This window comes from Homo sapiens, chromosome X, assembly GCF_000001405.40.
Source record: "Homo sapiens chromosome X, GRCh38.p14 Primary Assembly".
Classification (NCBI taxonomy): domain Eukaryota; kingdom Metazoa; phylum Chordata; class Mammalia; order Primates; family Hominidae; genus Homo; species Homo sapiens.
The window spans coordinates 80,679,169-80,691,606 of NC_000023.11; the positions used below are offsets into that span (position 1 = coordinate 80,679,169).

The 12,438-nt window shown below is 33.4% G+C and overlaps 1 protein-coding gene across 4 annotated transcripts in view; it reads right to left on the reverse strand.

Moving 5' to 3' along the window:
- BRWD3 (bromodomain and WD repeat domain containing 3) overlaps positions 1-12,438 on the reverse strand; it is a 140,375-nt gene that overhangs the window by 9,666 nt on the left and 118,271 nt on the right. For 3 of the 4 annotated variants that reach the window (NM_001441339.1, NM_153252.5, XM_017029384.2), the window contains 10 exons: positions 11,885-12,005; positions 10,799-10,924; positions 10,600-10,678; positions 8,901-8,957; positions 7,695-7,835; positions 6,294-6,368; positions 4,842-4,994; positions 3,297-3,460; positions 2,829-2,926; positions 2,173-2,331 (listed from right to left, as the gene is read on the reverse strand). In NM_001441339.1, the coding sequence (NP_001428268.1) occupies positions 2,173-2,331; positions 2,829-2,926; positions 3,297-3,460; positions 4,842-4,994; positions 6,294-6,368; positions 7,695-7,835; positions 8,901-8,957; positions 10,600-10,678; positions 10,799-10,924; positions 11,885-12,005 (1,173 nt within the window). Of the gene's footprint in view, positions 1-2,172; positions 2,332-2,828; positions 2,927-3,296; positions 3,461-4,841; positions 4,995-6,293; positions 6,369-7,694; positions 7,836-8,900; positions 8,958-10,599; positions 10,679-10,798; positions 10,925-11,884; positions 12,006-12,438 lie in introns of those variants that run through there. The other variant, XM_047441957.1, reaches the window with a different exon arrangement.

Here is a 12,438-nt window from a genome sequence, read left to right on the forward strand (position 1 = left end):
GTTATGGAAACCCAAGCTGACTAATACTTCAGGCTGGAGACTAAGGTGATAGCAGTAGAAACTATATAGAAGATTTAAGTGGTATTAAAGAGTTGTGGAATCCACAAAACTTGGCAACTGACTAGGTATGAGGGATAAATGAAGAGTCAAAAAACACTGTGAGATTTTAAGCTGGGTGGCAAGAAAGATGGTTATGCCATTAACTAAAATAGTGAGCACAGAAAAAGAAGCAAGTTTGAGATGCGAAGATAAGCAACCGAATATTTTTATTTTTTTATTTTTTAAGGAAGCACTTGGAAATTATTCTAATAGAATAAAGAGATATTTAAGCTCTGCATATGCATTTGGAGAGTCATCACATCAAGATGACGGATGCAGTCATTAGAATCCTTTATTTGTGGAAGACAAAAACAAGCAAAAAACAGTGGCAAACTGCAAATACAGAGCAGTAGAGTCAAAGAGAAGAAACAGAAATAAGAGATATAAGCTAATCAATAGAGTATAGAAGCTTACAAGTAGAGTTCATAGAGAAGGTAGTCAACAACATGCAATGATATAGAGATTGAAACTAAAAAAAGACGCTAGTTGGCCACTGAAGAGTACTGATGAATGTGAGAACAGCTTTTGAAGGGTGGTCGGGACAGACACCGTACTATAAAGGATAAACGACTCTGTGGATGGGAAAAACAAAATAGATGAAGGAAGCATGGGTTAATCTTGGCAGTGGAAGGAAGGGTAAAATGAAAAAAGGCAATGGCATAAGTATGCAAGATCAGAGGAGACACTAAAGATGTAAACTGGGAAAAACAAAGGCACTAATTATTTTCAAGTAATCAAATATGTTTCAACATTTCTTACATAGCCACTATAAAATATCTTCAGAAAAGCCTATTTTTAAGTTATTTGATGGTTAAATAACAATGGATAAGCTACTTAATCTTGCATTAAAATGTATATAAAATAAAATCTATATTCTAATAAAATTATTTGTAAAAGCATATTAACTATTCTTCACAAACTTCAAATAGCTGAACATGTTAGAACTTTCTCTAAATACATTCAAGGTCCCTAATATAGGCCTAAGTATAAGAAGAAAGTTTGAGTAACAATAAACTTCAAATATTTATGATAATTGATGTCCCTTGTATGGTCCAAGATAGACGCACATAATGAATTAGGTCAGTGTTTCTTTTTAAGCAGTGAACATTTTTCTCCTAATAAAAAGTAAAATAGCATCTCCTTATATGAAATAACAAACAGAACTGTCTGGTTAAATGCAGAAGGTTCTTCTGAGAATGCCTGAAGTACTTTTGTGGATGCCCCAGAAATGGGCAGGGCACAGTCTGAAAACCACTGACTTTGTGATATAGCAGGCCCCTAAGGAAGAGGATATCTGACTTACATAACTGGAAAACCTTAAGGAAGGTGGTAGAAGCGGTTATTGACTGAAAGAAGGCTCATTTCTCAGCCCAGACTCATATTTTTACTGCAGTGGGCCACAAAAATATGAGACCTATTTAAAGATGACTTTGGAAACTCTCCTTTCTTATTAATATGAAAAATATGAAAAATCCTAAATGTGTCTTCATGTGCTTGGGGAAAGAACTCTTCATTTAGTTTTTTTCTCCCAATTCCTTTTATTTTATTTATTTATTTTTGAGACAGAGTCTCACTCTGTCACACGGGCTGGAGTGCAGTGGCACAATCACAGCTCACTGTAGTCTCCTACTCCTGGCTAAAGCGCTCCTCCCACCTCAGCTTCCCGAGTAGGTATGAGTTGTATGCCACCACATGTGGCTACTTTTTTTTTTTTTTTTTTTTTGTAGAGATTAGGTCTTGCTTTGTTGTCCAGGTTGATCTCGATCTCCTGGCCTCAAGTGATCCTCCCACCTCAGCTTCCTAAAGTGCTGGGATTACAGGTGTGAGCCACCACGCCTGGCCCCATTTTACGTTTTAAGACTAAAATACATTTGAAAATAGCTATTGGAAATCTGCTAATGGCCTGTTCCCAGTTATGAATATGAAATGCCATCTGACTCATATGTGACAGAATTCTCATTAACTATAAGGATATACTAGTTTTTAGTATGTCAACATGTCAGCTTTTAAATGATTTATCTGCTATCATAAAGAAATAAATAATAAATGTCTTGTCCTGTATTTATTTCCTACCTTGTTTAACTGGCAAAACTCTATTCCGAAATGATTTGGCTTTCCCTGGGTCATGGCTATTTCCACTTCGGCTATATCCACCGAAGCTCGATGAAGAAAATGGCCCATCTGGCTCATCATCAAGTAGATATAGTGAAAGCCCTTCAGCAGCATCTGAAACTTACATTTTAAAAGATTTTAATACTAACATAATTATCATGTTTTCAGGAAAGTTAAACAGGCTACTTTTTGAAACCATATCTCTGTTATTTTATTCTAACACCAAAATTATAAGTTTCTCTAAGAAAATGATATGAATATTTTGAGAACAAAGGGTTGAATGTCAGAAAAACTTGTCCAATTGCTCATCATAAATTTTCAAATATTATGTTGGTAAATATATTGTAGATAAGTGCTCTGAGATATTATAGGCATCATTTAATCATAAAATTTTAAAACTAAGAGACTTTTCATGTAGTCTAATAAAGAAAAGGAATCATATGGCCTAATGTCATACTCAGGGACACAAAACTAGCAAGTAGAATTGGGAATAAAGCACAACTTTTAAAAATCTAAATCCATTGTTCTTTGCACTATAAACCATGCTGCCTCTTCTATATCCTTAATATCAGAATTAAACCGAGATGCAGAACACCAAAAACAAAAGACATATTTACCAGGAGATGAGAAAGGAGAGCTAGTCCTGGCATGAGATACTGAGGTATTCTGGTCATTTTTAGGCTGCAACTTCATTTGTTTCTGCTTCCCTTTTGGACTAGAAGTAAAAATATGTAACAACGAGCATTTTTTTTTTTCTGTTAGCAACATATTATGATAGACAGTATGATACAAAGAGGTATCAAGGTCAGGTATTAGCTGGCCAAAGAAGAAATGCCCTAAAATTCATGAAATAGATAATTTGACAGTGAAACTTCAATCATTAAAATTTAAAAAAAGTTTCTGGGATAGTAAAACCCACATAAATAGTACTTTTGATTACTAACTCTACATAGGCATAAGAGTTTAGGAAACAAACAAAAAAAGACCTCTTGGGATCTCCCCAAATTATTCATAAACTTTCACAAATTAGGTAATACATACAAAATGCTTTGAGAACAAAAAATGTTGCATCAATGTAATGATACCTAGGTGCTCCACTACTAGATAATGAACTGCTGCTGCTTCTTAGACGTTTTCTGTACCGTGGCCTTCTCCTCTTCTGACTCTGGATTGCTGACTTATATTCAGAGATGATATTTTTGATATGACTTTCAAATAAGGCAGATAATCGCAGCATCATGCTATAGATCTGAGAAGGCAGAAATTATATAGTCTTAACTAGTTTTATATTTTAAAAAAAGGTATAAACATGCCTAGACCAATATTAAGCATCATCATTACAGACAAAATATCTGTTCACTTGAAAAATTCTTCTCAAATAACTAAAGTAAGATACCATTTTCACCTAAAATAAATGTTTTTCAAATATAGTATTCAATGTTCTAAAAGGTAGGGAAAAAAAGACTCTGATACAATGCAAGAGAGAATGTAAACTGAAACAGCATTCTAAAGGACAATATGCAGTCTGTACAAAAAAACCTTAAAGATACACACATCCTTTGGCTAGTAATTTTACTTCTGGGAATTTGTCCTAAGGAAATATCACAGAATTATATACATAAAAAATATATTCAATAATGTTAAAGATATTACCTATAGCATTATTCATGTAAAATGGATAACTGGAAACAACCTAAATCCCTAGCCAAAGAACACTGGTTAGTATAACATAAAACAACCACACAACAGAATACCATTAAAAACCTTGTTTTCAAAGAGTCATGAGATACAGGAAAACATTCATAACACTTAAGTAACAAAAAATGCTTCAAAATACGAAATCCACTATTTTAAAGAATTTATAAGCATATGTAGATATATGTGTTAATGTAGAAAATCCTGGAAGTAAACAGTAACTGTAAGTAAAAATAGGTGATAGGTTTCACAGGTGATTTTTGTTTTCTTCTTTATACTTCTGTGTTTCCCAAACTTTCTATAGAAAATGTTACTCTAGCAATCAGGATCAAGGGGGAGGGGGAAGCAAGTGTAAACAAATTATGTTTGCAGAAATTAGTGGAAATGCATTTTCCATAAAGTGGAAGTAGGCAAATATATATTTACTGTGCAACTGATTAAAAGCTAATCAGATACCAGTGATTTCAAAAGAAAAACTTGATTACTATTTTTCTATTCTCAATATACTTTAAGTTCTGACAAAAATAGGGAAGATATTAAATGTGAGTATAAATAAGCAGTTACAACTTCCCAAGATGGTTCATTATTTGTTAGAATAAATGGAACATACATGTTCAGAGCTAATAAAAATATTTCACATAAATCAACACTGTCAATCACCTTTCTATTTATTAAGTCACTTATTATATTAAAGTGTACTTAAATTACTACCTCTCCTCTCCTTGTTTTTTCTCTGGTACCTATAAATATTTATTACTAAAGAGTAAAGAGACAAATAAGAGAAAGGAAAAGGTGGTTAATTTCAGAATGACTGCTAAATGTATCTTTATGCATGCCTAACAAGCAATCCATGTTTCAAAAAAGATACTGAGGACCAATTTTCAGTAACTGGTTAAAGAAAACTGCCTGATAATTAACCCAACTAATAATCATACCCTTGACTTTTTATTAGAGGTATAAGCTTTGGAGTTGTTGAATATTTGGCGAACATCCTTATAAAATTCCAGAGGACTACCATAGTTTCCTGCTTCCAAAGTTTCTTTCACAGTGCTGAAGTCCACAGGAGTATCTATAACATCTTGATAATCCTACAAAGAAGAATGTGTTATTAAATACTGTATAGCAATATTAAGGAATACAATGGGACTAAAATTGGTATCACCTACTACGATCCACCATGAAATAAACACATTGCTTTTCAATGTGCCAACTACCTCCCCACAACCCCAAAACATCTTTTGGTGGCTCATAAAAACAGCATAAGTCTGTGGGAAAGCCTTAGCCCTCACACCACAGTAATAACCGTAAATAACTATGAAGGTAAAGAATAGAAAATCCATAGCCGTTGGCTTCATCTCTACAGCTTCCATGTCTTGCTTAAAGGCTGATACAACCTCCAAAACCCCAGCACACTGTTTAATGATAAAAGATGGGATTATTCACATATGATTAAATTGTTCCACTCTACAAATTAGGCACATATTTCCACGATTCCTTGCTATGAGAACATTCTACTTAAGTGTCATTAGTTAAGGGTCAGGGTCAAATTGGTCATGTTTGTGCCTTTCTCCTTCTTGATTTTAAATCAATGTGATACCTTTGCTTCATCGAAGGTCTTCCATCTTATAGGTCCATAATTCATTTGATTTTGATTAGGGAAGAGGAAAGATTTCATTTTAACCTAAATCCAGTAAAGATTTTCCTAGGGTTATCAGATGGAGTTACATCTGATATTTAATTCCTATATATGCTACAAGCCTCAAAAACAAGTTTCAGAGTGAAAACCATACTCAGTATTAGATCCCTTATTGTATTTAGAATCATCAAGAAGTAAAATCTCCACATTTCCCTCCTAGGAAAAAGCCAAAAAGCCAGAAGGGGCAGATAAATGGTATTATAAAAAGAGAGAAAATATTTTTCAAAGTATGAGAAGAAATGACAAACGTTCTAAATATATCTTATTTTCTTAAATCATAAAAAAACAGAAGTATATTCTAACACAGTATGGCTTATGTTAGAACTTGTGTAGTATGATGACCAAAATTTAAAAGACTCAGACTGCTTGCTGAATGAAGTCCCAGTGGGAATAATCAGCTGCAATACAGACACAATTATATTGTGTAATTGATGTTTTCTACTCTGCTGCAGTAGCTTCAGATCTACATAAAAAAGTAAACATTTACAAGGAGGATACAAAGAACAGTCTTGAGAACACATGTTGATTCAGAAAGAGGAACAAAAAAATAAATGACCAAAAAATCAAACAAAGGTAAAAAGGGGAGCAGAGTTAGAAGGCAGTCCTTACAAACTATAAGATTCATGTACAGTATGGAGAGTTTAGAAAGTAAAAACAATCAATATGTCTTTTAAGAGACTACCAGGCCTACCTCAGAAAGAGATGAATCTTGTTGTCTTTCTGGAACAACAGACTCTGAGGATTCTCCCTCTTGCTCCTGATGACCCTATTAGGGTGAAGAACATATACTGGTTTCCAGACAACTATAACAAAATATCAAGACGTGTAATACAATTATGACTTAAGTCTCAAAGATCCATACACTGGAATCATGTTTTATCGGCTGTACTTTAAGGTGAAGGAATTGTACATTCGTCATTCTCCTTTGCTATGAAAAACACAAGACTAATTTATTTTACCCAAATTCCCTACAAGCAAACAAGTTCTGTTGAACACAATCTCGTTCCTTACTTGAATGATATTTTTTCCCAACTGAGACCTACAGTATACAGAGAAGACCAATGTGTAGTAAGCTCATAGGACGGTCTGATGTATTTCTAAAATAGTGCTGTACCTCTTCTCTGAGAAAGTTAAAATAGATTTGCTATCTATACTACTTCAATGAATAGATACACTCCCAGGAAAGAAATCCTACAATCAAAGTTCTCATCCTTTTACCTTTATTGAAAAGAAAAGTCCCTACAAAGGACATGAACTCATAATTTTTTATGGCTGCATAGTATTCCATGGTGTATATGTGCCACATTTTCTTAATCCAGTCTATCATTGTTGGACATTTGGGTTGGGACATGGATGAAGCTGGAAACCATCATTCTCAGCAAACTATCTCAAGGACAAAAAACCAAACACCGCATGTTCTCACGCATAGGTGGGAATTGAACAATGAGAACACTTGAACACAGGAAGGGGAACATCACACACCGGAGCCTGTTGGGGGTTGGGGGAGGGGGGAGGGATAGCATTAGGAGATATACCTAATGTAAATGACGAGTTAATGGGTGCAGCACACCAACACACCAACATGGCATATGTATACGTATGTAACAAACCTGCACGTTGTGCACATGTACCCTAGAACTTAAAGTATAATAAAATATATATATATATATAAATTAAAAAAAAGTAAAGAAAAGAAAAGTCATACTGGTATACTGGTTACTCTAAGTGGCCATATTGATAACACATTCAGTATAAATTACACAGGATTGACATGTCACCAAACATCTACAGTGTACAGAGGTGTATTCGAGGTTAGTAAAATGTATTAAATAAACGTCTGAAATAAAAGTCGGAAAGAACAGCAAATGAATTCTGATTTAAATTTTTGTTTTACAACTGTATAATTTACACACTGAAGACACAATTACATTTTTTTAAAAATCACACTAATCACACTACTACTTTCACAATCAAAAGACTGGAAAAAAAGAAAGGAAAGGAGAGGTGAGAAAATTGCTCTTATCTAGATTTTAGCATGGACATTTATGGGAAATTATCATACTGACAATTATTTAAACAACTGTATGCTTACTGGGTAAGAAAGAAGATCAGCTGGCTGTCGAAATGGCTCCGAGTCTTCACGTTCATAAATGAGGCTCAATAGTTCCTTGCATTGTTTTTTCCAAGCATCAGGATTACACTTTAAAGACTGTCTTCTGCCTCGGCATTTGACCTACAGATTTTAATAGAGTTATATCTAAAAGATCTTTCCTTAACTCAGTTGATTTTCTCATAAGTCCCTAATGTTAATATACCTATCTGTATGTGTGTATATATATATATATATATATATGGCAGCTGCTATTTTAGTTTCTTAGTTTAAATTAGACAGTATTTTCCCTGGCAAAAATAATTAGTGAGCAAAAAAACCTAGACATTATATTCATGGAAATGGCAAGAATTCTAGTACTCAAATCTGAACTTCAAATAATGTACAGAGGAACAAATGCTTCTTTCCTCTACAACATCAAGTTATAGAGCCTTAATATTTGCCGGTAGTTAAGTATACTTGACAATGGCATCATATTTTTCTCAAAAGAACACTTGAATGATTTTTTTTCCCAGAAATCCTTTGTGGTCATGATAAATTCTGTTGTGTACCATTTGATTTTGTTACGATCTCTTTCAGTATTTCAAAATATATTGTCCCTTATATAAAATAACTACATGTCTAATTATTATAGAGCAGAAGTCTGCACAAAAGAGTTAACATAGCAGGCCAGGATTTGCTTGCAAGGTTGGCCCTTGGCTGGCATTTGGGAACTTGGCATTTGAATGGCTTCCTAAATTATTAAGACAGTTTACTGCACCTAGACAGTATAAACAATGTGATTTGTGCTGAATACCTGATTTCCTTCTGGGAATCTGGAATCTTAGTACGTGCTAGTCAGAGGGTACCTACATAACCAGCCCCTAGTAAAATCTTTGGGGACTGAGTCTCTAATCACACACATGCTGGAAAAAGAGTGTAATATGTGACCCCTCACAGGGGAAAGATAATAATAGCATAAGGAAGCCTGTACATAATTTTCTCCAGACTCTGCCTGTGTCTTTTCACCCATGACTCAACTGGGTACCCTTACTGCATCACTCTAATAAATATTATCAATGAGCATACCTAATATACTTAGTTGCAAGAATCCTTCTAGCAATTCTCCAAATATGGGGTTGGTCTTAGGGATCACTGACACAGGAAACCTGAAAACATATCTCCTCAGCAGTTCACTTATTTACTCACCTTTCTTCCAGATGAAGTACCAGGACCGTCTGAATCTAAATCAACAATTTCTGTATCCTTAATTAAAAAGGAAGAGTGGGAAAAGACGTTAAGTTACATTCAAAGTCATATAAATTAGATGGACATTTACAAATAAACGGGAAATAAAATCACAGTTAACTTTCCCCACTGGAGCAGCAAGTAGAACAAAAGATAGAGGGAGACTCACACCAAACTTTCCCAATATGCAGTGTACAAGCTGGAAAATATACTGGAAGAAGAATTAAACAAGGTTTCTCTTTAAACAAGAATCGGAAAGGAGGGGAACAGTGTAGTGGTTGGTATTTGCTAAAATTGTATCTAAGTGTTAGTATTTTTTAAAAACCTTATTCTATATGACATGCTTATTTAATATAAAATTATTAATTATTCATGATTACTCCATTGACATTTCAAGAAATAGGTCTCATATAATATGCATTTATATTTTCCTATAGAAAAGAGATCTATTTCAGTTAAGTATCTCTCTAAGGGATAATTTTTTAATATGAAGAGTCAAGACCCAAGCACCACTAGTGCTGGTGAAACACTGGGTAATATGTAGTAGAAAATAAAAAGTAGCTCATGAGATATTGGTACTCCTTTCTAATAAAATAAAGCTGTTGAGTTACATTTTTACTTAAGTTTTCTATTTTAACCCAAATAGTGCTACTCTGAGGTGAAATTCCTGCTACATCAAATTTCAAACTAAAATATATTTATGTGAAAGGTCAGAGAAAATATAAGGAATATATAAGAAAATATAAAAAAAATTAGTGATACATTTTTCTTAGGTTTTAAGAAACTATAATAATATCTAATTGGTATATCATGTTTTCTTTATTATGTAAGTAACATTTAACTGCAATAATATATTTCATAGTCAGACACATTTTCATGAAAAAAATAAAAAAAAACAGCATTGGAGATTTACCATTCTGGAGATTAACGGTATAAATAATATAAACATGCAAAATATCTCATGCCACTGCAACACAATCTAGCATATGTGAGTCACTCATCCCTGGGATGAATTGTTTTCCAGTAAAGATTTGTGAATTATCACTTTCCAATATTGTTCCAACCTCTATTTTGGTTTTTGTTTCTATCATAACCTCCAGTCAAATACGGCTTTGTGTAAATTAGAAACATAGATGAGTGGGGAAAATCAGGAATACGAGGGTCTGCTGAGTACTACTTCCATTTCATTCAGAAGAGACTGATTTATCTTTATAAATTTTCAGAAAGGAAATCGAGTAATAATTTCATGAAACTACCAAAAATTTAGACTTTCAAGCCTGAAACTTTAAAATACTTTAATATTTTCTATACAGCATATAGAAAATAAAATCCTTACTGAAATTTCCATCAACTAAGCATTCTTTTAAAATATTGAGCACTTGTCTTGTTTCTAAATGTTGGAAAATAAAGTGTTGATTTCTCGTCACTTACATCCACTGTGTCAAATATGATGACTGGCCACCTGTCTCTGAATAAACCCTGTAGCTCTATTTTATTTTTGGTATATGCCATCTAAGTACACTTTAAAAGACGCTGGTATTCAGCCAGATTTCAAAAATCTGTTTTGCTGTTCATGGCCAATTACAACATTTACACATAATACTGTACTTCAAATAAGAGAAAAGTAACTCATTCCTACTAATCATGCTGTGATTCTTACCTCCTCTGCATCAGTACTGTTTCGTTCTTCTGCTTTAATTTTATTATAAGTATCCAGTATATCAGTACAGCTCTGATCCCTAAGAAACAAGTCATTTCAAAAGCTTCAGTAATTTTTACAATTTTTCAATTAATTTTTTTAAAATTAATTTTTTAAAAACCTTAAGTTAGACTCTCTGGAAGCTAAAACTGCTTCTTACCCAATAAATCGAAGTAAGACATCAGTTACAATTTTAGCTGCTTTAACTATAGGACTGTCTGGCTCATTGAAAGTCCTGGCATTATGTTCAATATAGCGTACCTCCCACATTAATGCTGATATTCTCCTGTGAAAGAAAAAATACTCTGTTAGCCTTGGCTAATATATTTAAAGTATATTTTAGGAATATACAATATGGAACAAATATGTACTTAAACACAGTGTGTCAAAGGTGTTCCAATATGCATATAACTCAATATATTTGACTGATGAGCACTAAAAAGAGATGATATAGTTACAGTATTTAAAGCACAAGCAGGGATTCTGAACCACTGGAATGTATATACAAAACTTCAAATAGAACTGACCTAGGACATTATAGGTAAAGAGTCATTTGACAAGGTCAAAAGAATGTTTAGTTTAGTTTTCAGGGGAAGAGCCAAGAAGAGCAAGAAAAAAAAACAGATTATAAAAAATGACAGATTTTTATCTAATTACTTTTATGATATAAATATTAAATCAAAATAATATATTATAAAAATACAACCAGTTCTCAATTGCAAAGGCAGATTAACCAGTCATGGAATACTGTCGTCAGTAGGAGACTTGGATGACAGAGGGACCAAGATATGCCCTCTACAACCTTCCCATAATCATCTCTCATCCCAACCAAAACAAAAAAATTACTTGGCTCCTTTCCTGTATATATTTCAGTGCTGGTAACTAAATCTAATTAACTCTGACCAAATTCTCCAACAGAGGATTTAAACATGCTCCAAATTTGTAGCACCTTAATAACGATGAATCCACAAACCACTTAAATTGCCCTTAATAAACTAAAGTTAAATGTAGTTTTTGTTTTACACACCATTTGTACTACCCATATATTCCTCTCAGCCTTTCTTCTCTATCCCCAAGAGTGAGAATCTACTAAATAAAGGGAAATTAATGTTCTAAATTTTTAAAGGAAATTTTGGTGTGGGTCTTTTGGATGATCATGTTATACTATGGAAATGCAGATCTCAAAAAGGAAAGCAAAAGCCATAAAGCTATAAATTTTATAATAAGTGATTAAAAAAAAACAGACCTGTAAAAGCGATTTTCAAGTCTCCGCCTGATGGTATTGAGGTCAGTTGGATAAGCAACTACAGTACAATACAAGGGGTAGGCACTGAGATCCACTGGAACAGCAAAAGGGCTGGCAAAATCTACAAAATTATGAAAATCAAATAAGGTAGCTATAAAGGACATTAACATCTCATGGTAACAAACATTTATTCATATATAAACAAGAAGGGAGGGTGATATACTACTTTTCTAAAACCATGAGGATTCCATTATACAAACAGAACGTTATTCTTTATATTTGGACATCATATCTATGAATCATGCATGATACACTGGTTCAAATCAGGTAAAACAAAATTAGAGGAGCACTGGGTTTAACTTCAGATTTCTGTCTTTCCTAGATAAATGCCAAACTTCTCAAGTGACATGTTTTAGCAAATTTAACTACTCATGTGGGTAAAATACATTACTCATCCACTGTCCTTACCAAGAAACCCATCCAAAGTCAGGCTCAGGAATAGCTAGAGAATCAAAGTGATTCAAAAAGGAAAAAGACACTTACACAGTTACCTT